Here is a 24,489-nt window from a genome sequence, read left to right as displayed (position 1 = left end):
CGATGGCTCACACCTGTAATCCCAGAACTTTAGGAGCCGAGGAGGGTGGATCACTTGAGGTCAGGAGTTCAAGACCAGCCTGGCCAACATGGCAAAACCCTGTCTCTATTAAAAATACAAAAATGAGCCGGTCGTGGTGGCATGCACCTGTAATCCCAGCTCCTCAGGAGGCTAAGGCAGGAGAATTGCTTGAACCGTGAAGGTGAAGGTTGCAGTGAGCTAAGATCATGCCACTGCCCTCCAGCCTGGGCGACAGGCGAGACTCCCTCTTGAAAAAAAAAAAAAAAAAAAGAAATTTAATAGGATTGTACACTAAACAGAGTTAACTTGCTATGTGTAACTTATATCTCAAGAAAAAACTTTTCTTTTTACAAATTGACTTTATTTTAAAAATCACACCCAGAATATACGGTGATTCACAAGAGAGAGAAAATGTCCACTAACATTTGTTCACGCATAATTACTGCCTCAGTTGAAATTCCGGTGATCTTTTCATATATGCTTCAGTTTTTATGGGATCTGGATCACATATGATAGACAGTAAGAAGATAGGCCTAGATGAAAAGGAAGAAATTACAAGTTTTGAAATAGTTATAAAAATTTCTGAATTGTTCTTAGTTGAAGTGAATGGAAATACTTGTACTGGTATTATTTGGGGGTCTTTTTTAAAAGCTCTTCTCTCACTCACCCCTTTCTGCTGTACTCAGGGAAGGAAGAAAGGAAAAGATTGCCAAGAATATGTGTTCTTAACACTTAACACCCCAGACAGTTATGTATTTCTAAGAAGTTTGGGAAGCACTGGGTAGGCTGCAACATGGTTCTCACATCTCTATCTCTCTTTTGTCTCTCAGTTGCACTCGCTCTCACTCTCTTATTAGCCTCCATCCCCTCAAAGATGCACCTCTATAAGAATCTTAGGAAAGTGTAATATACATAACTCTGACTCCAATTCCTGTAATAATATGTATTTGGGGCCCAAGAACTACATCTCAGTTATTAAGAACAGTATCAGCAATAATAGTCTCAGGTCTGTTGGATCCCTGAAGTCCCTTTCATTGCTGAGATACTGTGGTCTGATTATCTGTGCAAATTATTTCATATTTACAGATCATAACAAAACCACCTTAAAGATCACATATGACCATTTTCACTAAAGAAACCAATTTCTATCAGTTAACAGATATGTTTGTTTTGTACCTATGTAGCAAATCATTATATCAGTTGCTAAAAGGAATACCCAAAAGTATAAGATAATCTCTGCTCTTAGAGAGCTTACTAACTGGTTGGGAGATAAAATAGTTGCATATGACAAATTTTTATTGATAGCATAATAAGCTTCATTCAAATTGTTGCTTGATAAAGTGGTAGACATAAATATCTAGGGCCTCATTCTAATACTAGGTCTGTCATGCTCTGAATGTGAGTCCAGTACAATCCAATAATTAACTGGCAAACCTGCAACAGCAAAAGAGAACTAGATCTGCTTACTGGGGACAGGGAAAACCTAAGAGAGACAAACCCAGCTGTAGGTTCTTGGAGGAGGCTCAGTTTGGGCCCATTTGATCTCTGTTTGCAGGTTTGGTGCCAGTGCTTACTTGGACAATGACATGATGTTACATTTTTAAGGCCTTTATTATTATTTTCTCAAAATTCACTAGGAACAGCAAAATACAGAATCCTCTAGTAGTACTAGGCAAAAGGACTCAGGGAAACTACCCAAGGTGCTATTGTTTGTCTTGTTGATATTCATGATGATCTTTAAGGACTTAAAAAAAATTTTTAATGGTGTTTGCATTGCAGAGATTAAAAGCTGCTTTGACCCAGCAACATCCTCCAGTTACCAATGGTGATACTGTCAAAGGTCATGGTAGCGGATTGGTTAGGACTCAGTCAGAGGAATCTCGACCGCAGTCATTACAACAGCCAGCCACATCCACTACAGAAACTCCGGTATGTGTGTTGTTTTTATTATTCAGCACTCTGTCATCTTTAAACAGAAAAGTACAGTGTAACTTACGGCTTATTTAAAAAATATTACTCTGGTCATGTTGTTATTCCAAAGATGTATCAAAAGCCTCAGGAAAAGGTAGCTCAGTATACAAGTATTGATACAAAAATAAACATAATAGAGCAGTGTTTCTGTTCAGGACACCTGCAAATATTTCTGTGGGTGTCCATATATGTTGGTCACAATTCTTTTTAAAGAAAACATCTTTTTCTGTTGATTTTAGGACAGTGAAACTGAATACTGCTTTGAGAAATTTCCTTTACTCTCTATTTCCTGATTGAAGAAGTTTATAGAGTTATGACTTTGGAAAATAGTTATATAACCAGAAAAATAATATTAGAACCTTATAGTGAGAAGAATGAAATTGTATCTTGTTTTCTTATTGTCCAAAACTACAAATTTGACATAAACTGTAACTATTAACACTAGATATTTTTTCTTGCTGTGGCATAAACAGGTTTGATTTGAACTGTTCTCCTATGTAACCAAAGTATTGATGTTATAGGAAAATTTAATAGGTTAAGTTCTGTAAATTTTATAGACAATAACAACTTCTTTGTTAAGAGATGCTGTGTTCTTCAGAAATGTATGTAACTAAATCTTACGTTCTTTTTCAAGTAGCAAAACTAAGATTTCTAAAGAATCTTTTTGGATCTCTTCTTAAAAAATTATTGATTTTCCTTTTTCCTAAAATGCCATATGTTTATGATTACAATGCATATCATATTTCAGTATTGTGTTGCCATCTACAACCATTAAAGTGTGTATGTCCCAAAGAGGCAGATGTTTTTTCTGTTTCCGTTACTAGCAGAACAAATAATTCTTGTTTCTGCTTTTAATATTTGCTCACTCATTGTAAAACATTACTCTTTGTTATTTATTTGTATAAGTAACCTTATCTCACTTGTAGGTAATCAGAAGTCTTTTAGAGAAATAGGTAGATAAATATTCACACATATACACACATATGTAGGTATTACATTACTAACATAAATCAAATGATTCCTGAATTAAAACTTGTGAAACATCACCAAAGGAGCAAATATGCTTTATGGCAGCTATTTATACTAGAGACCCCTTTCACTTATCTCTAGTTTGTGACTGCCTATGAGATGATTGATATTGTTATATGCCTGCAGTGCTTTTCTAATTCTTTCTAGTAAAGGATTATTGTACTCCTGTTAAATGTTTCAGAATTCTATTTAGACCTTTTATCTTTACTTGAAGAATATTAGCATTGGCATTAAAAAGCAAAAGTTTTCAATCAAAGAAACACATATAAATAAGTTTTAGATTGCCACCTAAGCATAGGTATTTACATAACTGTATCTTGTCTTTTAAAAACTTAATATATAATGAAATGTAGTTGTGGTTGTCATCCACTAACCAACTTTACTTAGGGACCAAAAGGGAAAATGAGGGGCTGAGTGATTGTGTATATGTGTTAATGTTATACCTCAGGGTTTAACAATGATTCACAGGCCATATGCAACCCATGGGTGTTTTTGTGTGGTCTGCAAGTTAAGTATGATTTTTTACATTTTTAAAGGGTTATTTCTAAAAAATGAATATAATTTATTGTCCTTACTTTCTTGCACTAACTATAGTTTCCCTGGATCTAATTTTTATTTATATCCTTATATGTTATTGTATTGGATGGAAGCCCCATGAGGGTAGGACTTTATCTGTTTGTTCACTGCTATACTTAGTTTCTAGAATAGTTCCTATAAGGATTTTCTGAATGAAATAGAATGAATTAATAGACATGGGGAGAGAAGGAGCAGTATACACTTCTAAGAAGCCTCCAATCCTTGATAGGCATAAAAATATACAAATGTAACTCTGAGTAGCAGAAATTAAGCTTCTGTTATTCTGCTAGTACTTATGATTAGTCTTTGCTATAATGAGTTAAATCAATTAAAAACAAAAATAAACTGTTCTCTCTTATTCAGCCAGATGAGTAAAAGAAAAAACCTGCCATTCTCAATAAGAAAAATAGGAGGTTGTGGCTCACGCCTATAATCCCAGCACTTTGGGAGCCTGAGGCGGGTGGATCACCTGAGGTCAGGAGTTCGAGACCACAACCTGGTGAAACCCCGTCTCTACTAAAAATACAAAAATTAAGCTGGGTGTGGTGGTGGGCACCTGTAATCCGAGCTACTCGGGAGGCTGAGTAGGAGAATCACTTGGAACCCAGGAGGCGGAAGTTGTAGTGAGCCAAGATCACGTCATTGCACTCCAGCCTGGGCCACAGAGCGAGACTCCATCTCAAAAAAAAAAAGAAAAAGAAAAATAGGAGGATGAAGAAAAAAATTTCAAGATTGCAAATCTTGAAGCCAGCCATAGAAATATTTTTCTAAAACATTAAGTTGCAATTATGTAAGTAAAATAAACGCTCTAATTTAAATGCTTAATCTTTATTACAATTAAAATATTTCTTTTTTGAGACGGGATCTTCCTCTGTTGCCCATGCGGAGTACAGTGGTGCGATCATGGCTCACTGCAGCCTCGACTTCCCAGGCTCAAGCAATCCTCTCCCACCTCAGCCTCTTGAGTAACTAGGACCACAAGCACATGCCACCGCACTTGGCTAATTTTTTAAATTATTTGTAGAGATGAGGTTTTGCTATGTTGCCCAGGCGTGAAATACTTTATACATGAAATAACTCTCTTTGTAATGCTAGTTATTTGGACAAAGAAATGATAACTTTATTTTTTGGAATTTGTTAGAGTGAAAAATAGTTTGGTAATTTACCTGCAGAATTTATCTTGAGCTTTATATAAGACTTGTATTACATAGATTAGGAGAAAACAAATTTTATTTGTGCATACCATTTTTAAATATAATAAATTATAGGTAAAAGATTGTTTTCAGGCTTCTCCTTTGGATTGTGTGCCTGTAGCCATAAAGTGTTCTTTTCTCTGCACCATTTCCAAGAGCTCATTTTCTTCTTTCTTTTTTTTTTTTTTTTTTTTTTTTTTCGTATTTTTTGAGACTGAGTCTCGCTGTATTGCCCAGGCTGGCGTGCAGTGGTGTTATCTTGACTCACTGCAACCTCTGCCTCCCGGGTTCAAGTGATTCTCGTGCCTCAGCCTCCCAATTATCTAGGATTATAGGCATGCACCACCACGCTCAGCTAATTTTTTTGTATTTTAATAGAGACTGGTTTTCACCATGTTGGCCAGGCTGGTCTCGAACTCCTGACCTCAAGTGATCCACCCGCCTTGGCCTCCCAGAGTGCTGGGATTACAGGCATGAGCCACCACGCCCGGCCAAGAGTTCATTTTTTGACACCCATATTCATTTGTTCTGTGGCACAGTTTTGGGGTTTGTGAAAGACTTGAAGATACCTATTGTTTTATAGTCTTATACACTAGACAATATTACTAGTGACTGAAGATTTCTTTCTCTTACTAATCTGAGATAACCAAGCTGATTCATTGGGGAGCAGAGGGAACAATTAAAATGAAAATTAAGGCTCCTGTGGGATTCTCCCTACCAGAAAAATGAGTATTAATAAATATAAGAACTTGACCCTTAGAAAAAGACTGACCCTAAATTTCACAAACTGAAGAAAAGCTGAATATACCAAAGAATATATATATTTTCACTCCATAACTTTAGAGAAACAAATTTTAAGAAAATTGGCATTTAATGTGAGATATTTAATTTAAAAATAGCATAGAAATCATGGTTTTCTATCATGAATTTAAATAGGAAGTTATTAAACGTTTTGAGAAATTTATAATTAGTTTTCCAGGGATTTAATAATATAATAAAATCTGTTAAAATATACTTGGAAAAATATTTCTATATATCATTTGTATTGTATTTTAAATTTTTTCATATTTGTATGTAAATGAAAATATTATACATAAAGAATACATTTGCTGTGACATTGCATTAGTGAGAATTGTGTTATAGCATAGCTCATAACATAAGTATATTCAAGAAGGAAGTTAAACCACAGGGTGATTTTCATATTGCCCCAACATACTGATGTATTCAACAAGACTTAGAAAATACAGTTGCTCTCCCCCTTTGACACCCTTTACTGCCTATGTTAATTCACTCACTAGATACAAATATAACAGGCTTTCATCTCTGTTTATAATAGGCTTCTCCAGCTCACACAACTCCACAGACCCAAAGTACAAGTGGTCGTCGGAGAAGAGCAGCTAACGAAGATCCTGATGAAAAAAGGAGAAAGTTTTTAGAGCGAAATAGAGCAGCAGCTTCAAGATGCCGACAAAAAAGGAAAGTCTGGGTTCAGTCTTTAGAGAAGAAAGCTGAAGACTTGAGTTCATTAAATGGTCAGCTGCAGGTATGGTGCATATATGTGAATTTTGTTTTATTTCTTTTTTAATAATTGTGAACATAGATTTTTTTTTTCCTAGTTGGGCCTCCAAACATTTTAGGACATGATATTGGGTGTGTATGGAATCTATAGTAAATCATAGTTTTGTAAACCTGTTTGTTTGGATGCTGAGATGAAATAATATAAAACTTTCAACACTGATACAGTGAAGAAATTTAAAATGTGTTTACCTGTGTACAAAAGTAGCTAAACTATCCGGTTTGAACTTTATAAAGTTGTGATATAAAGTGCAGAGAATTTTAAAATTTAAAAATATCACTGTTATTTCACTTTTCTTGTCTATTTTTTTGGTTTATAGCACAACTATAAGTTTCTTCAGTAGCAGTTTTTATTTTTAAATTATTTCATTCTTTGAATTATAAATTTTGTTCTGTTTTGTTTTATTTAAAGTGAATATATTGCTCGTGAAAGGTGCCAGATTGACAGCTTTGGAAACTGAAGGACTCTAATTATCCACAGACCAGGTACAATATGGCCAGTGGCAGTACAGATCATTTCATACTGCCCTGCCAATGTGCCTCAGATACATTTCTTAAAACCTCATGGAGTATAAAGTTTTAAGGCAGCACCGAATCTGTTTCCTTTGTTTTTCTTCCTTCCTTTTGTTTTTGTTGTGTTTTTTAACGTAAATATTCTCCTATATAATCTTAAACTGCCAACTGATAAGTATCAACCAGAAAATTGATGTTAATGAATTGCAGTTATTAGTCTAGCTCAATCTTCTGAATTATCCATACCCAGTTAAAAGTGAATCTTTCTGTATAATCATAATTGATGGTAAGAGACCTGCTGTCTTCTTAAATCTGTCTTTAAGATATCACCAATATAGTTGTCTGTTTAAATGGTTAGGAAACAGTTTTTAGCATCAGACATAGCATTTAACCAAATGTAAGTTTTATAATTTAAATTTTTTTAATGTGAAGCAGACATCTTTAAGTCTTTATTTTGCTTTGAATATTGACATGATAGAACAAATAGATTGTCTTGCAGAACTTATTTTTAACGATTTTATTTTAATGATTTAGAAGAAAATTTTAATACAACTTACCACATCACATAGACTTAAAATATGTGCTTATCTTCTAGGGTTTATTAAGAAATATATTTTATCATTTATCATCTGATAAATTGTTTTTTTGTTTTTGAGACGGAGTCTCACTCTATCACCTGGGCTGAAGTACAGTGGTGCAATCTCGGCTCACTGCAACCTCCAGCTCCCGGGTGCCAGTGATTCTCCTGCCTCAGCCTCCCAGGTAGCTGGGATTACAGGTGTGCACCACCACACCCGGCTAATTTTTGTATTTTTAGTAGAGATGGGGTTTCACCATGTTGGCCAGGCTGGTCTCGAACTCCTGACCTCAGGTGATCCACCCGCCTCAGCCTCCCAAATTGCTAGATTACAGGCGTGAGCCACTGTGCCCAGCCCATCATCTGATAAATTTTTAATCCAGAATGTTTCAGAAATTTTTAGAAAACATTTCTAAATTTTCTTTTTTTTTAATAGTACAGACTGTAGGTACTAATTTATGCTGCAAAAATGGCTATTTTATATCAAGTCTGTTAGAATATTTATTATTATTTAAATTTTCAAATATTACATGAACAAAGTGATTTAGGTATGTGTATTTTTTTTCTGTTCTTAACTAACAAAATCTTCTGAATGACCTGCTATTTTATAGTTGTATGACATAAAACACAATCACTGTTGTCTTCAGTTGTCTTACCTGTAGAATAGATGTGGTAATACCACTTCTCTGTATTGTTACATAAATCAGTCAATTCAAGGGTTTCTTCGTACAGAAAATTTTAACTAGTAAGACAAATTTACCATTATTTTCCTTTGTAATTTGGCTTATTATGCCTTATTTAAGAAGTAAAAGTACCTGAAAACTATGAAGTAGTACATACATATATGTTATTATTTACAGGGATTTTAAGCTGGGCAAGTTTTCTGCTTTGACCCATTTTAGAGCAATCTTAATACCTTTTAATGAGATATTGCTGTTTCCATAGTTACACTGCAGCACTGGTTACCACTATTAGCCCTTTATTATTGCAGAAAACCATGGAAAATTAAGTATTCAAAATAAATATAATCTTGACTCCATTTATTTCATGTTTTTTCTGTCACACAGTCTATGATTAAAATGTCATTATTGTAGCAGTGCTTTGTATATACTTCCTAATTTGGGTAGAAGTTTTTTGATTGGAGAAATAAAGATAAGATTTATCATTAGGTAGAAGTTTGCTGACATCATTTTTTGAAGCATGAGACTATTAAATGAAAGCTAAATTTAGGAAATCACTAAATTAAGCTCTACATTTGAACTTGAGTTTAGTTAATACCTCAAATTATGTACAGAAGAAGTAAAACCAGTATTTTTGACCATTAAAAGCTGGGTGATGATGGCATCATCTTAGATTTAGAAATGCATTTTAAAATAGGATCCAAAATGATATATTATCAAGGATTTTACTTACAATACTTCTCCAAAAAAGAAAAAGCATTATATCCATCTATTTATATTAACCTGGGAAAATATCTATAATATATATATTTGTATGGGCAAAAAGAAAGTTGTTGGAAACAGCCCAAATGTCCATCCAAGATGAATGGATAGACAAGTTGTGGTTTATATGTACAATGGAATATTATTCCACCATAAAAAGGAATGAAGTATATGCTACAGTGTAGATGAACCTCAAAACATTATGTTAAGTGAAAGAATATAGAACAAACATCAGATGTTGTATCATTCCATTTATGTGAAATACCCAGAATAAATAAATCCATAGAGAGAGATGGCATATTAATGGGGGAGGGAGAATAAGGAGAAACTGCTTAGTGGGTAAGGGTTTTACTTTGGAGCGATGGAAATATTTTGTTACTAGACAGAGGGTGGTAGTTGCACAACATTGTGAATGCACTAAATGCCAGTTTAAACTGATTACCTTTATGTTATATGAATCTCACCTTGGTAAATTACGAAAAAAGGTCAGTTACATCTAAATTAAGCATTATTATTATGCTTAATAAAGCATAATGCTTTCTTATTAATAAAAAGGTTTACAGTTAGATGGGTAAATGTATAGGTATAGGAACTGGTATAGAAATGACTCCGTAAGTATAGGTAGCATTTTAGAAATGACATGTACCAAGGTGCAAACGATGGTGAGGAGGGAATTGAGAGCATGGATGGTTTGGGAAGAAAGGGTACTTCAATGATGACTTTCTGTTATTGCTTCAAGTCAATATATTATTTTGACTTTTTGTTGTTTTCTACTTATTTGTCAAGTAAAATAAGTTTTTTAAAAGTGACAGATTGTAGCTTTCAGAATGTGAAGAGTTAACATGCCTATAATAGATTCAGGGAGAAAAATTTCTTTCAGTCTGCCAACAGCAAAACCGTTAACTGTGAAGAACAGAATGACTTGTAAAGAAAATTGAATGTCAGAGAAATAATTAAACCCTACTTTATGTGAAAACATTAATCAATTCTGTATTTCCTTGATGATCCTTCATGTGACATGTAGGCTTAGCTGATCAGTGTAGTGGGCTGTAATGACCCATAGTTTACTTATATATTTTATATGTAATACAAGGTTTAACAAGTGTTGAGGTATGATTGTTCATATTTTTACCAAATACATATTAGGCCTTAAAATATATTCAACCTTATTGCCGCATTCACTAAATTTAATCATGTTTTAGTTTTCCCAAATCATTGCTAAAAGAGCAATTTCATCAAATTATATTAGAGACATTTATGGTAATCTAGACCAAAAATTGAATACTGTTGGTTATAAATTATTGTTTTTTTTTTTGGAGACAGAGTTTTGCTCTTATTCCCCAGGCTAGAGTGCAATGGCGCAATCTCAGCTCACTGCAACCTCCACCTCCCGGGTTCAAGCAATTCTCCTGCCTCAGCCTCCTGAGTAGCTGGGATTACAGGCATGCGCCACCACACCTGGCTAATTTTGTATTTTTAGTAGAGATGGGTTTCTCCACGTTGGTCAGGCTGGTCTCGAACTCCCGACCTCAAGTGATCTGCCCGCCTCAGCTTCCCAAAGTGCTGGGATTACAGGCATGAGCAACTGCACCCAGCCAATTACTGTATTTTTAAAGTAATATCTATTTTGTTAATTTTGTTATCTTTTACTTGAAATGGTTTTTACCTGTTTATAGCTTTGTCTTGCAGTTATGCTCATTATGGGGGTTAATTTTCAGTTTATAAATGTAGCATGTTTCCTTATGAACAAAAAGCAGATTCCTTTTCTTTACTAACAGTAGCTGCTTAACAGTTACTCTGTGGGTACAACTTGATAATTATTTTTGTGTGGATTTGGCTGTTATATTAGGTTGGTGCAAACAGAATCGCAGCTTTTGCCATTAAAGGTAACGGCAAAACATACTTTTAATGGCAAAAACTGTGATTCCGTTTGCACCAACCTAATAACTTAGATACTGCAAAATGTGTGTGGAGTGGAAGCACAATAAATTAATGAAAGCACACTTTTATAGCTAGAGAATTATTTACTCATAAGTTAATGATGTGGAAAAGGTTTTATTGGTCCGTTGACTTATAGAAAATGAGATTAAATCTTTTATTTCTGGTACCAGACAATATTTTATTTCAGTATTTATCACTTGAAATAGGAAAAAATAGCAATAATTGGAAGATACATTATAATACCTTTTTGATTTAATTTCTGAATTCTATGATCTATCTTCCACGTTTTTCCACTGAGTTTTTAACTATATTCTAGATGAAAGAAAGGGGTATTAGTGTAGCTGCCATCATCTCATGCATTTTATTCTGAGTTTGAGATCTAATACTTACATTTGAAGCTTTTACTAAGAATCTTCCTAAGCCTTTGTTTTTCCGTCAAACTGATAGAATAAGTACTATTATGAAAAGCAACTGAAATAAGGTATAGAACAGTGTTGTAACTACACTGTGCAAATGCTAGTTATTTTTCATTCTGTCATTATGCATCTATTATGTGCAAGGCATATTATTAGATGTGGATAACAGCGAAAAAGACATTGTCTTTGCACTTACAGAATTTGTGGCAGAGGAGACAGACATGAAACAAGTAATTAAAGTGTGAGAATAGGAAAGGAGTCATTCCCATTCATTTTGCAAAGTGTTTCCAAAATATTTTGTAGCTCTAGTGAGAACTCTTGTCTTTTTTTCTGTTAAAAATATAAATTTTTTAAAAACTAGTTTGTTTTCATATGTAAGGTTTTACATTCCACGATAACCCTTGGAACTGTGTGGAGGGAAACTTGATACTTAACTGCCTTTTGTGAGGCTTAAACATTTTAAAAATTCATAGCAATGAGAAATTCCGCAAAATAAGAAACTATTCATACTGTTTCTTTATTTTTGGGGGTAATGGCTGAAGTAGAAAGTCAAAGATCATAAATTTAGGGAATACCTGATATTCATGGCCAAATATCAATAAAAGTTTCGATTGATTAGTCAGTTGGCTATCGTGTGATGATTTCAGCAGGCTGATTTACATTACATAGACAATGTAAGAAAAATTTGTCTGCTGCTATGTAATTAACCTTTGAGTAGCCACATTATTAGAGTGGAGCGGTGGTAGAGATAATGACAAAATAATTTACATTAGATTTTAGACCAGAATAATAATTTCTTTTAGCATCTGTTCCATCTTGCCAAATATGTTTTACTTTGACAAAGTGATGATTTCTCACATTTGAATGGGACTTTCACATTTTCAAAATGCTTTTATATCCCTTATTTTACTTCATCTTCAGAATGACCCAGGAAGATAACTAACATATCCTGCAAGTATACTAACTCACAAATAGTAGATAGTACAACCAGAAGGACTTTGGAGGCTGAATCCAACTAAAATCTAGTCTAAAATAATCCACAAAATAGTAAGAGGTATACATTTTTTTTTCATTTAATATTAAGTCTTTTTGTGGCTGAACATCCCCTTGATATTTATTTTGGCTTAAGCAGACTGGTTTTGTGTGTGTGTGTAACCTCTGTTTTTATATTCTGAGGTCTCTGTGTATAGAAACTTAAGGAGTCTTCCCATTATATTTGTGTAGCAGCCCCTTCTCTCTGTCTACCTGTCTTCTGATCTTTCTTAATAGAAAGATTTCAGAATTAAAATCAGGACTTATGCAGCCATCTTATCTGAATAGTAATAAATCATGCCTATCTTTATTTTTAGAAATACAGTATTTTCTTTATGAGATTAAAATTCTTGAATGCTTGGAGTAGTTTGTTGAATTTACTATATTTATCATAAATGAGGCCAGGAGCAGTGGCTCACTCCTGTAATTCCAGCACTTTGGGAGGCTGAGGCAGGTAGATCACTTGAGGCTGGGAGTTCAAGACCAGCGTGGCCAACATGGTGAAACCCCATCTCTACTAAAATAAATAAATGTGTATATATATATGACTTAGGAACCACTCAGCTTTTGTCTCTTCTAACTAATTCAGTTATAAAACCTTTACCAGCATGAGCATCCTATTTCCAACCCACGCTTGACCTGGTCTTGACCACTAGCATATGCTTATACTTACTAGGGCTGTACAGCTCAACTAATCCACTTCTTAAAGGTTTGGCCCACCCTCATGCCTAAACTGCACTCCAGCTATGTTTGCTTTGCAGTATTTCTCTCAGTCCCAATTCCTAGCCAGTAATTGTGTCTCATTTGCTGCTTTTAATCTAGTGGTGATACCATCTTTTAATGAAATCGACTATTAGAGTACAGTAATAATACAAGTTATATTTAATTTGTAACCTGTCATCCAAAAGTCACTTTTGAGCTTCAGAATCATCATTAGGAAAATGTTACTGTAAAACATTTTAGATCAGGACAATGTAAAAAATTGGACTGAATTTGTATTGTGCAGACCTTGAATTTGTTGGTTTATTTCTTAACCATTTCTGCCATTTAAAAGGTGTAGTGGAAAAAATTGGTTATTTGAATTTTGGATAAATATAATTTACAGCATGCTTGTATATTATACCTTTTAGATACATGCAAATTTATATATAAGAATGTGCAGAGTTTTTAAAACAAAGAGTAACAAATTAAAAAATAAAAGAATGTGCAAAAGTTTTTATTTTTAATTTCTTCTTCTTGGCCTTTTCCATTGTTTCCCCAAGTTAATGCCAATTAAAATTCAGTTAGCACAAATATACGTTGTAGCAAGAATCAAGTACTGTACCTCTTCAGTCCTTGATGTTCATTAACCTTTCCTAGCTACTGGCATCTTCATGTTACAACTATATGTTAGTAAACCAGGTAGTCTAATTAGATCAACAGTCTGAATACCACCAACCGTTAAGTTTGAAATGTAGAAATTGATGTCCTGTTCATCAGTTTCAGACCTGTCTATTTAAAGAGAGAATTTGTGTGTGTGTGTGTGTGTGTGTGTGTGTGTGTGTGTGTGTGTGTATGTTATGTATTTATTTATTTATTTTATTTTTTTGAGACTTGAGTCTCACTCTGTAGCCCAGGCTGGAATGCAGTGGTGCAACCTCCACCTCTTGAATTCAAGCAGTTCTCCTGCCTCAGCCTTCCAAGTCGCTGGGATTACAGGCATGCGCCACCAGACCCAGCTAATTCTTATATTTTTAGTAGAGACAGGGTTTCACCACGTTGGCCAGGCTGGTCTTAAACTCCTGACCTCAAGTTATCTGCCCGCCTCAGTCTCCCAAAGTTCTGGGATTACAGGCATGAGCCACCACACCCAGTCTATATTTAAATCACTTATTTTATATCACTTAGCTAGCCAACACATAACACTTTCAGTACTTTTGTCACATATAGCATTTTGTTACATAATACGGTTTATTATGAATGTATAGAGTGTTTCAGAGAGAAGACATTTGTGATTTTTAGAGTTCCGTAATTGAGGTGATACTACATAATATGCCAATTTACATAACTGAGAAAATTAACAGTGTAGCTGTATTGGTGAGATTATTGCTATAAATGATGAAGTTAGGACCTCTGACCAGATTCATATTATTTAAGCTTTTTCATTTCACCTTCTTTGATATTTTTTACCTCCTAGACATAGAATTACGTGGTCCTCTCTAAAATATGTCTGTCTACTCAGTCCATATCAGGCAATGTGCTGTGCTCTGGGGATACCAAGGAAAAGATATGTTCTGCCTTCAAGAAATTCCCAGTCTGGTAGAGGTAGCAAGCAAGTACACCAAAAGTTACAATCCAGTGTGATAAGTACTATGGAAGAGATCTATATGTATACACACAAAAGTATGTGGCTGTGGGAACCCAGAAATAGGCACCTAACTTATTTTCCTATGCATTCTTTTTTTTTTTAACTTTTTTTTTTTTTTTATACTTTAAGTTTTAGCGTACATGTGCACAATGTGCCGGTTAGTTACATATGTATACATGTGCCATGCTGGTGTGCTGTACCCATTAACTCGTCATTTAGCATTAGGTATATCTCCTAATGCTATCCCTCCCCCCTCCCCCCACCCCACAACAGTCCCCAGAGTGTGATGTTCCCCTTCCTGTGTCCATGTGTTCTCATTGTTCGGTTCCCATCTATGAGTGAGAACATGTGGTGTTTGGTTTTTTTGTCCTTGCGATAGTTTACGGAGAATGATGATTTGCATTTTCATCCTTGTCCCTACAAAGGACATGAACACATCATTTTTTATGGCTGCATAGTATTCCATGGTGTATATGTGCCACATTTTCTTAATCCAGTCTATCATCGTTGGACATTTTGGTTGGTTCCAAGTCTTTGCTATTGTGAATAGTGCTGCAATAAACATACATGTGCATGTGTCTTTATAGCAGCATGATTTATAGTCCTTTGGGTATATACCCAGTAATGGGATGGCTGGGTCAATTGGTATTTCTAGTTCTAGATCCCTGAGGAATCGCCACACTGACTTCCACAATGGTTGAACTAGTTTACAGTCCCACCAACAGTGTAAAAGTGTTCCTATTTCTCCATATCCTCTCCAGCACCTGTTGTTTCCTGCCTTTTTAATGATTGCCATTCTAATTGGTGTGAGATGGTATCTCATTGTGGTTTTGATTTGCATTTCTCCGATGGCCAGTGATGAGCATTTTTTTCATGTGTCTTTTGGCTGCATAAATGTCTTCTTTTGAGAAGTGTCTGTTCATATCCTTTGCCCAGTTTTGGATGGGGTTCTTTGTTTTTTTCTTGTAAATTTGTTTGAGTTCATTGTAGATTCTCGATATTAGCCCTTTGTCAGATAAGTAGGTTGCGAAAATTTTCTTCCATTTTGTAGGTTGCCTGTTCACTCTGATGGTAGTTTCTTTTGCTGTGCAGAAGCTCTTTAGTTTAATTAGATCCCATTTGTCAATTTTGGCTTTTGTTGCCATTGCTTTTGGTGTTTTAGACATGAAGTCTTTGCCCATGCCTATGTCCTGAATGGTAATGCCTAGGTTTTCTTCTAGGGTTTTTATGGTTTTAGGTCTAACCTTAAAGTCTTTAATCCATCTTGAGTTAATTTTTGTATAAGTAAGGAAGGGATCCAGTTTCAGCTTTCTACATATGGCTAGCCAGTTTTCCCAGCACCATTTATTAAATAGGGAATCCTTTCCCCATTGCTTGTTTTTCTCAGGTTTGTCAACGATCAGATAGTTGTACATATGCGGCGTTATTTCTGAGGGCTCTATTCTGTTCCATTGATCTATATCTCTGTTTTGGTACCAGTACCATGCTGTTTTGGTTACTGTAGCCTTGTAGTATAGTTTGAAGTCAGGTAGCGTGATGCCTCCAGCTTTGTTCTTTTGGCTTAGGATTGACTTGGCGATGCAGGCTCTTTTTTGGTTCCATATGAACTTTAAAGTAGTTTTTTCCAATTCTGTGAAGAAAGTCATTGGTAGCTTGATGGGGATGGCATTGAATCTATAAATTACCTTGGGCAGTATGGCCATTTTCACAATATTGATTCTTCCTACCCATGAGCATGGAATGTTCTTCCATTTGTTTGTATCCTCTTTTATTTCATTGAGCAGTGGTTTGTAGTTCTCCTTGAAGAGGTCCTTCACGTCCCTTGTAAGTTGGATTCTTATGTATTTTATTCTCTTTGAAGCAATTGTGAAATGCTTTCCTATGCATTCTAAACTGTTCTGAGTTGACACTTAAATAAAATATTTAGCAAGACAAAGAAGAGGGGATAAAGACAACGGTATGTATTTAGCTAGCAATTTCAAACTTACTTTTGTAAGTCAAGACAAATACTGGTTATTTCATATGGTTCAAACTAATGTGAAGGTAGCAAGGGTATGAGAGGCTTGAAGCATCACTAGTGTTTGGTGTTAAAGGATAGAGTATGTTGGAAGAGCAGTGAGAGTTGAAAATCATTATGTTCACCATCACCAGATTGTAAAAGATTGTATATTCTTGAGTAAAAATAAATATCCAGCCCATTTCCTGTTACAGGATTTAATGAGAGAAACTTGTAGACATCAGTCTCAAAATCAAGCTGACAGGATGGGTAATATACATTGGGTAATATACATTGGATTATTCATAACATGGTTTCATCAATAGTGTCATTTATACTGAACTATAATTAGCAGTATTGACACCAGTTGGAGAAGGTGTTTCCTAAATGACAGCTTATCTTTTCAAGCCAAACTGTTTTAAATTTTACCTTTTGTACTTTGATTACTATCTACCCATTCTTGCCTCAAATACAATATTCTAAATCATTTAATCTTTTAATTAACGGTTTAGAGTTATTATGAGCATCAATTTTTGTTCTGTACTTAAATACAGTGATGTAGTTCATTGTTATTGGGGTGTGAGGAACTGTTTGACCCAATAGACTTGCCTTTAGATTGCTTAACTTTTATTATTTAATTTTTATGTTTCTGTCACTTATCACTTAAGGAGGCCCAAGTCTGCTAAATTATTTCATTTATTTTTTTTGAGACGGAGTCTCACTCTGTCACCAAGGCTGGAGTACAGTGGCACAATCTCACCTCACTGCAGCCTCTGCTTCCTGGGTTCAAGCAGTTCTCCTGCCTCAGCCTCCAGAGTAGTGAGTAGCTGGGATTAGAAGTACCCTCCACCACGCCCAACTAATTTTTGTATTTTTTGTAGAGACAGGGTTTCACCATGTTGGCCAGGCTGGTCTTGAACTCCTGACCTCAAGTGATACAACTGCCTCGGCCTCCCAAAGTGCTGGGATCACAGGCGTGAGCCACCGTGTCAGCCTGCTAAATTATTTTACATTCAGCTTTCTGCTTAAGAAACAAGGTAGAAAATGTCATGCCTCAGCTTTTATGTACACCTGTTTGCTATATTTTCTAATTTACTTTTTGGTTCATGGATGAAATCTGAATGGTTATAGTTACTGTGTGAGTCCAAGTAAGTAGAAGTATTTGTAAGCTAAGAATTTTTTATATTACCAGTTTATTAAATTCATATTATTTCTAACTCTTGAGTATTGGTAATGATCACTGACTTACGTGTTTTTAATATTCGGGGTGACTCAAAGGAATTAGTCGGACTTGCTCAATTTGGAACTTTTTACCAGATTAATGTATCCCAAACAATGGCTGAAGTACTCATTCTGAAGATTAGGACAAATCTCCATTGACTTAGCAGATTTAAATTTAGATGTGTACAAATTGCCTGGGTCAAAGGCAGCTAAGCCATTTAAATGTTATATCTAGTTTCATTGGTTTCAGTGTCCAGCAAGAGTGCCTTGCAGTGAATTTTAGGTATCCATGATTCTTTGGTTATTTTGGTTTCCCCTGTGGAGCTTTTCTTGGTTTCTAGGAAACTGGAAACTTGCTTATTTGAATTTCTAGGATGATTTTTTTCATTTTTAGGTGAATGGAATCAGTGAAAATTCATCCTGACTCCCTTGATGTTTCTTTTTAAATAATCAGAAGAGCATGCAACATATATAAAATAAAAATACTTTCAACAGGTCACCAATAATATATAAGAAGTCCCAGGGAAATGGAAACAATTTTGAAATATGCTATCCAGCTGTGGCATTATCTTAAATTTTTATTCAAGTTACAGCTTTTTAATAAATGCTAAAATATAAAAGCTGCCCTGTGCTGATTAGACATATTTAATCAGCATATTTTCTTTGTTTTTAATGTTCTGCCAGTGATGTCCAATTTTATACTTTAATCCTTGCTTGTTTTAAATAGTAAAAAATATGTTTAGTCTGTGGTAAGGTACATAAGTTGTTTCTTCTCCAGAGTGAAGTCACCCTGCTGAGAAATGAAGTGGCACAGCTGAAACAGCTTCTTCTGGCTCATAAAGATTGCCCTGTAACCGCCATGCAGAAGAAATCTGGCTATCATAGTGAGTAATGTTCCATTACCTATAGCCTTAGGCTACGTCAGTGAAATACCGTCAGAGTGAACTGAGCTGCTACTTTAAAAATGGAGACTGTGCTTCTAATATTCAAGATTAAATATCAGAATTTCTGTAAGGTTATTATAGAATGCAGTAGAGAGGTATAATTTTTTAGAATCTAGAGAGTTTGAGTTTTCCTGTTTCTAGCTTTTTTCCTAAGCGTTACTATAGATCAACAAAATGGATTAGCTAATAATTTAAAATATACTGTAAGTACTTGATGATATTTTGTTCATCTTCTCAGGATAACACTTTGTCTTAGATTGACAGGGTGAAACACTACTTTTTTCCCAGCCTCCGTTCATTAATGATGATATTTTTCTTTTTAAAATCAGCTGACTGCCTTTAACAATATATGATATCCCTTTAAGGTATCAGATCCTATTGTTCTTTCTTAGATAATGTCAGCATTGTGTAACGTTTTTATTGTTGTAAACCTTTATATTGAGATATCTAGTTAGTTTATAAAAATGTTAAAACGGGAACAGTAGTTAAATTATCTGCTTGTAAATTTCCTGCTAAATGTTTTCCCAAAGAATGAGATTCTTTTGTTTTCAGCATTTTAAAGGTTAATTGTGCCTTTTCCTTTTTGTAATGTCCTTCTTTTTTGATAAGATGCACAGTGTTGGAACCAGCTGTTACTCTTGAATAAATGGCCAATTTTGTCCATAGTATACAAATTTGTAACAAACAACAGAGTTGGGAATGCATTAGGCAACATTTATAATATATAACCCACAGTTTTAGTCTTTATGATTTAGTGATATTTCAGGATATTAGTAAATGTGAAGATTGTTTCAACCATATGTATCCACTTCATTTTAATTTGCCAGTGTCAGTAATTCAAAAGAAAGAAACATTTTGTATTGGATGCAAACAGTTCCTCAGGTGCTCACGATAAAACTTAATGGCCACCATCTTTACTTGTAGTCATTATAAGCAGTTTCATCAGAATGGGCAATATTTTTTAATTTAAAAGATTCCGTAGATTTAGCTACTCTCAATTGCCATATATATTTAGAACGCTGATTTTTGTCAGTTTTGAGCATATAAATCTTGCTTATTTGATATCTAGTAATTTTGACAGGATGGTGAAACACATTGGAGTAAATTGGAACCATATAGAAATATGTTTGGGATTTATATTAACAATGATTGCTTCAGGGATGAGGCCATTATGGTTCCCATCTGACTTAACAACATAATTTCCTATAGAAGCTACTAGTTCAGCATTTATGCATACGTGATTTTCTTAACAAGAAATCTCTCTTGGATTTTCATAGTTTAAAAGGAAATAAATTGTTTTATAAAATTAAAAGGAAATTAACTGTTCTCTTAAATTGTATCCAATTCAGAATTACCTGTAATTTTTAAATCTTTGATAATTTATTAGATAATCCCAACAGTTTTGACTCTATTATCCAGGCAATGTATGCTCAGCAGATGCAAACCAGTTATTCATTTGACAATTGATTTACAAGATATCTTAAGTGTATAGATGCGTAGGTTTATATACTGTATACTTAAATGACTGAAAATCTAGATTAATACATTTTTAGTACATAGAGTACTAAGTTATGAGAATATAAGAAATGAATAGGATATGTTTGTTGTTTGGAAATAATCCTATCTTTATTCCTGTCTAGTCATGTAGATAATCAAATTAACTGAAATATAGTTCTACCATAAAATTAATTCTCTTCAGATCTTGGGAGATAATTGGATTTTGTAGAAATTTTCAGGTAATTTATATTTTCAAGTTTGAAATCTTTGAAATAAGTCTGACTTCTCTGTTGTGTAGTAGTAAAAATAGATACAGAAATTGACTAAGTGAATACCTTTGAAAAATTTACACTCTTCATTATGTTGTAGCACACAGCTCTTGCTAACAGTGGTGAGTTGTAATACTAGCTAAATCTTTAAAAACATTTGGGAATCAAAACTAAGATTTAGTAGAAATTAAGGAATGTTACAAAATCTTTCAAGTAAAGGTGGAAGTACTAAGTCACAGCCATAGGGTCTGTCCCGCCCAGTTTTAGCACTGAAAGTCCTACTTCCTAAGAAGACCCCTCAGTCGTGGGAAAACCATGACAGTTAGTCACCCCAACAGTTAAGTAATATAAAACCTGAATGAAAATACTAAGAGTACATTTTAAATATTTGGGTTCCATGAAAAATAAAGCACAAAAGTGATCTTATTGCCATGAATTCACATTCTTTAGATCTGGGCATAATTAAAGTTGTATTATAATTGTCTCTATAATTATAAATGGGAAGAAAAGCTTCTTGGGGACTAATCAACCACAAATACTTTTATTACTGAAAATATGTATAGGCCAGGCACTGTGGCTCATCCCTTGTAAGCCCAACACTTTGGGAGGCCAAGGCGGGAAGATTGTTTGAACCCATGAGTTCAAGACCAGTCTGGGTGAAATAGCGGGACCCCATCTCTACAAAAAATAAAGTTTAAAAAAGCCAGGCATTTTGGCACACACCTATAGTCCCAGCTACTTGGGAGGCTGAGGCAAGAGGATCACTTGAGCCCAAGAGTTCAAGGCTGCAGTGAGCTGTGATCGTGCCATAGCACTCCAGCCTGGGCGACAGGGAGACCCTATCTCAAATAAGGAAAAGAAACTTGTGGACATAGGTAGAGAACTTTCAAGATTACTGAATTGCCAAACAGCTGGTTTCTTTTAGCTTAGGTAGAGCTGGAAGTGGCTCTTTGAGTACAGCATGGTTTTCTGTATCTCTCTAGTGCTTGTGATTACACCAGTCATTTTCTCCCCTCACCTAGAACTGGACATAGGTGCAAATATATCACATTGTAAAGGTATTTGATGTGTATGTAAGGTTTATAATTACATAATTGTGAGTACCTGATTCTTTGTACTGCTTAAAGATTTGCTTTACCTAATTCTGAAAGTCTGTAGGTAAGCATTCATCCCTTATAATTTACTGTTTCATTTTAAGTTGTTGACTCCAGTATGTATTTACGTTTCCTTATACCACTCATCACAGATCAGCCTCTTTATTTTTAAAAGCTGGTGTGTCCCTTGAACTCAACATTCAGGGAAACGTCAGCCTGTTGTTCTTTTAAAGAATAGTGGTGAAGTTAGAATGGTGATCATTAAAAAGTCAGGAAACAACAGGTGCTGAAGAGGATGTGGAGAAATAGGAACACTTTTACACTGTTGGTGGGACTGTAAACTAGTTCAACCATTGTGGAAGTCAGTGTGGCGATTCCTCAGAGATCTTGAACTAGAAATACGATTTGACCCAGCCATCCCATTACTGGGTATATACCCAAAGGATTATAAATCATGCTGCTATAAAGGCACATGCAAATGTATGTTTATTGCAGCACTATTCACAATAGCAAACACTTGGAACCAACCCAAATGTCCAACAATGATAGACTGGATTAAGAAAATGTGGCACATATACATCATGGAATACTATGCAGCCATAAAAAATGATGAGTTCATGTCCTTTGTAGGGACATGGATGAAGCTGGAAACCATCATTCTCAGCAAACTATTGCAAGGACAAAAAACCAAACACTGCATGTTCTCACTCATAGGTAGGAATTGAACAATAAGAACACATGGACATAGGAAGGGGAACATCACACACCGGGGCCTGTTGTGGGGTGGGGGGAGGGGGGAGGGATAGCATTGGGAGATATACCTAATGTTGGATGACGAGTTAATGGGTGCAGCACACCAACATGGCATATGTATACGTATGTAACTAACCTGCACGTTGTGCACATGTACCCTAAAACTTAAAGTATAATTTTTAAAAAGTGATAAAAATAAAAAAATTTTAAAAATCACATATAAATACTTAAAAAAAAAAAAGAATAGTGGTGAAACAAAACAAATAGAGCTTTTTAGTATTCCCTCCAGTTAAACTGTCATTGCCAGTATTTTGTTTTCTATATACATGTAATGATTATGTAATGATTATATTGGCTATTTTAATAACTGAATTATAAATATTTTATAACATTCATTACTGCTTGATCAGAAAAGTAGGGGGGTGAAGGAGAGGGGCACTAGTTGAGAAACGACCTGTTGGGTGCTATGTTCACTATTTTGGTGATAGGTTCAATAGAAGCCCAAACCCCAGGATTGCACAATATACCCATGTAACATACCTGCATATGTACCATCTGAATCTATAATTTTTTTTAAGTATTCATTCTGTTTTATATAATTTTTAAAGGATTACTACTTCTGGTGGTTGGTGGTGGTGGTGGTGTTGTTTTATTGTACCTTGAGGTCAAGTATCTAGGGGTATGGTTTTGATTTATAGCATGTTATAGAGAAGATGGGGTTCCATCTCATTAATGTATTTTAAAACCTGCTTTTCAAAAATGCATGGATTTGAGGCAGATGTTGAAAAATTCTGTAAAAACTATATTTCAGAAAATGCACAAAATTAATAATTTTATTTTAGCTAAAGTTGACACTACCAGGTATCCCCCTCTCCATCTTCTACATTGCAAATCATAGGCTAAGTCCTGCTTCATAAGATGTCCACAATTTTTTTCACTAATTGACTTTCAGAATGGGCATCTGGCCATTAGTAAGCAGGCCAATACACATTCTTAGATTTGATTTTAGAAGCCTATTTACTGTCACTCCTAAACACTGAATAAAAAAAGTTTTAATGCCAAGTGAAAAAAGCAAGGTGCAAAAGAATACATCCAGTGTGATACTGTTTTTAAAATGTTTCAAAATAAACAAAGCTGAACTATATTGTTTAGGGATACATGCCTATGTGGTAAAACTGCAGAGAAAAAACGAGAATGGTTAAAGAAATGTCAGAGTGGTGATTACCTTTGGTGAGGACAGGAACCTCCAGGAAGCAGAAGTGTTAATGGCAATGTTCTCTCTTAAGTTGGCGGCTCGGTTCCCAGGTGTTCATGTTATCATTGTTCCTCATAACTTACATATACTATAAATATTTGTGTGTTATCTATATCAAATTTTTACTAAATGAAATTACTGGATTCTGTTCTATTAAAATAAGGATGTAAGAGACTTGTTCAGGTCTAAATATTTGCAGATTTATTTTCGTAAATATTTAGAATGCCCTTTCCTTAATATCTTTTCAGATGCAATGTTTAGAGTTTTATATGGATTTTTACTTGAATCCCAATTTATTCATGCAACTATAACAGCTGGTGGCATTTAGATTCTAAATACTGCTTGTTCTCCTATGTATGCATCATTAGAATCAGGTGTTATAATCATCCATGGCTGCAATAGATGGAAAATCAGTCAGAATAAATACAGTTCTGGAGAATGCAGAGGGAATAATTTGAAGATATAATTTGTATGTAAGAATTCATTTTGTTTATGCATGTGGTTATACATTTTTATCTTGTAATAAGAATGACATGTAGGCCAACCAGACTGAGTTTGTTAAATGTGATACTTAATGTTTGATTGTATCTGTAAGAGACTATCTTCCAAACTCTCCCTCATTTTCTTTCTTTAACACTATTTAGCAAATATTTCTTCAGCTCTATTCCATAAGGCAGTGGGCACCCAGATGTTTCCATATGCATGGTTGTGCCTTCTTTTGACCTATTGCAGGTAAAATTGCCTACTTCATGACCTATATCAATTGCTGTAATACCAACTTGTCTAATCAGTTTTGTAAGATACTTTCTAACTTTTTACTCTGTGTA

At 34.6% G+C, this 24,489-nt stretch overlaps 1 protein-coding gene across 12 annotated transcripts in view; it reads left to right on the top strand.

Moving 5' to 3' along the window:
* The window catches only part of ATF2 (activating transcription factor 2), a 95,945-nt gene that overhangs the window by 68,810 nt on the left and 2,646 nt on the right, over nt 1-24,489 (top strand). For 6 of the 12 annotated variants that reach the window (NR_045774.2, NM_001256092.2, NM_001256093.2 and 3 more), the window contains 3 exons: nt 1,801-1,950; nt 6,127-6,333; nt 18,629-18,734. Coding sequence is in view for 5 of the 12 variants with exons in the window: in NM_001256092.2 (NP_001243021.1) it covers nt 1,801-1,950; nt 6,127-6,333; nt 18,629-18,734 (463 nt within the window). In the remaining 7 variants the exon portion in view is untranslated. Of the gene's footprint in view, nt 1-1,800; nt 1,951-6,126; nt 6,334-6,777; nt 6,852-18,628; nt 18,735-24,306; nt 24,395-24,489 lie in introns of all 12 variants that reach the window. The other 6 variants (NR_045770.2, NR_045768.2, NR_045769.2 and 3 more) reach the window with 2 other exon arrangements.

This window comes from Homo sapiens, chromosome 2, assembly GCF_000001405.40.
Source record: "Homo sapiens chromosome 2, GRCh38.p14 Primary Assembly".
Lineage (NCBI taxonomy): Eukaryota > Metazoa > Chordata > Mammalia > Primates > Hominidae > Homo > Homo sapiens.
This window is presented reverse-complemented; position numbering and strand designations above follow the sequence as displayed.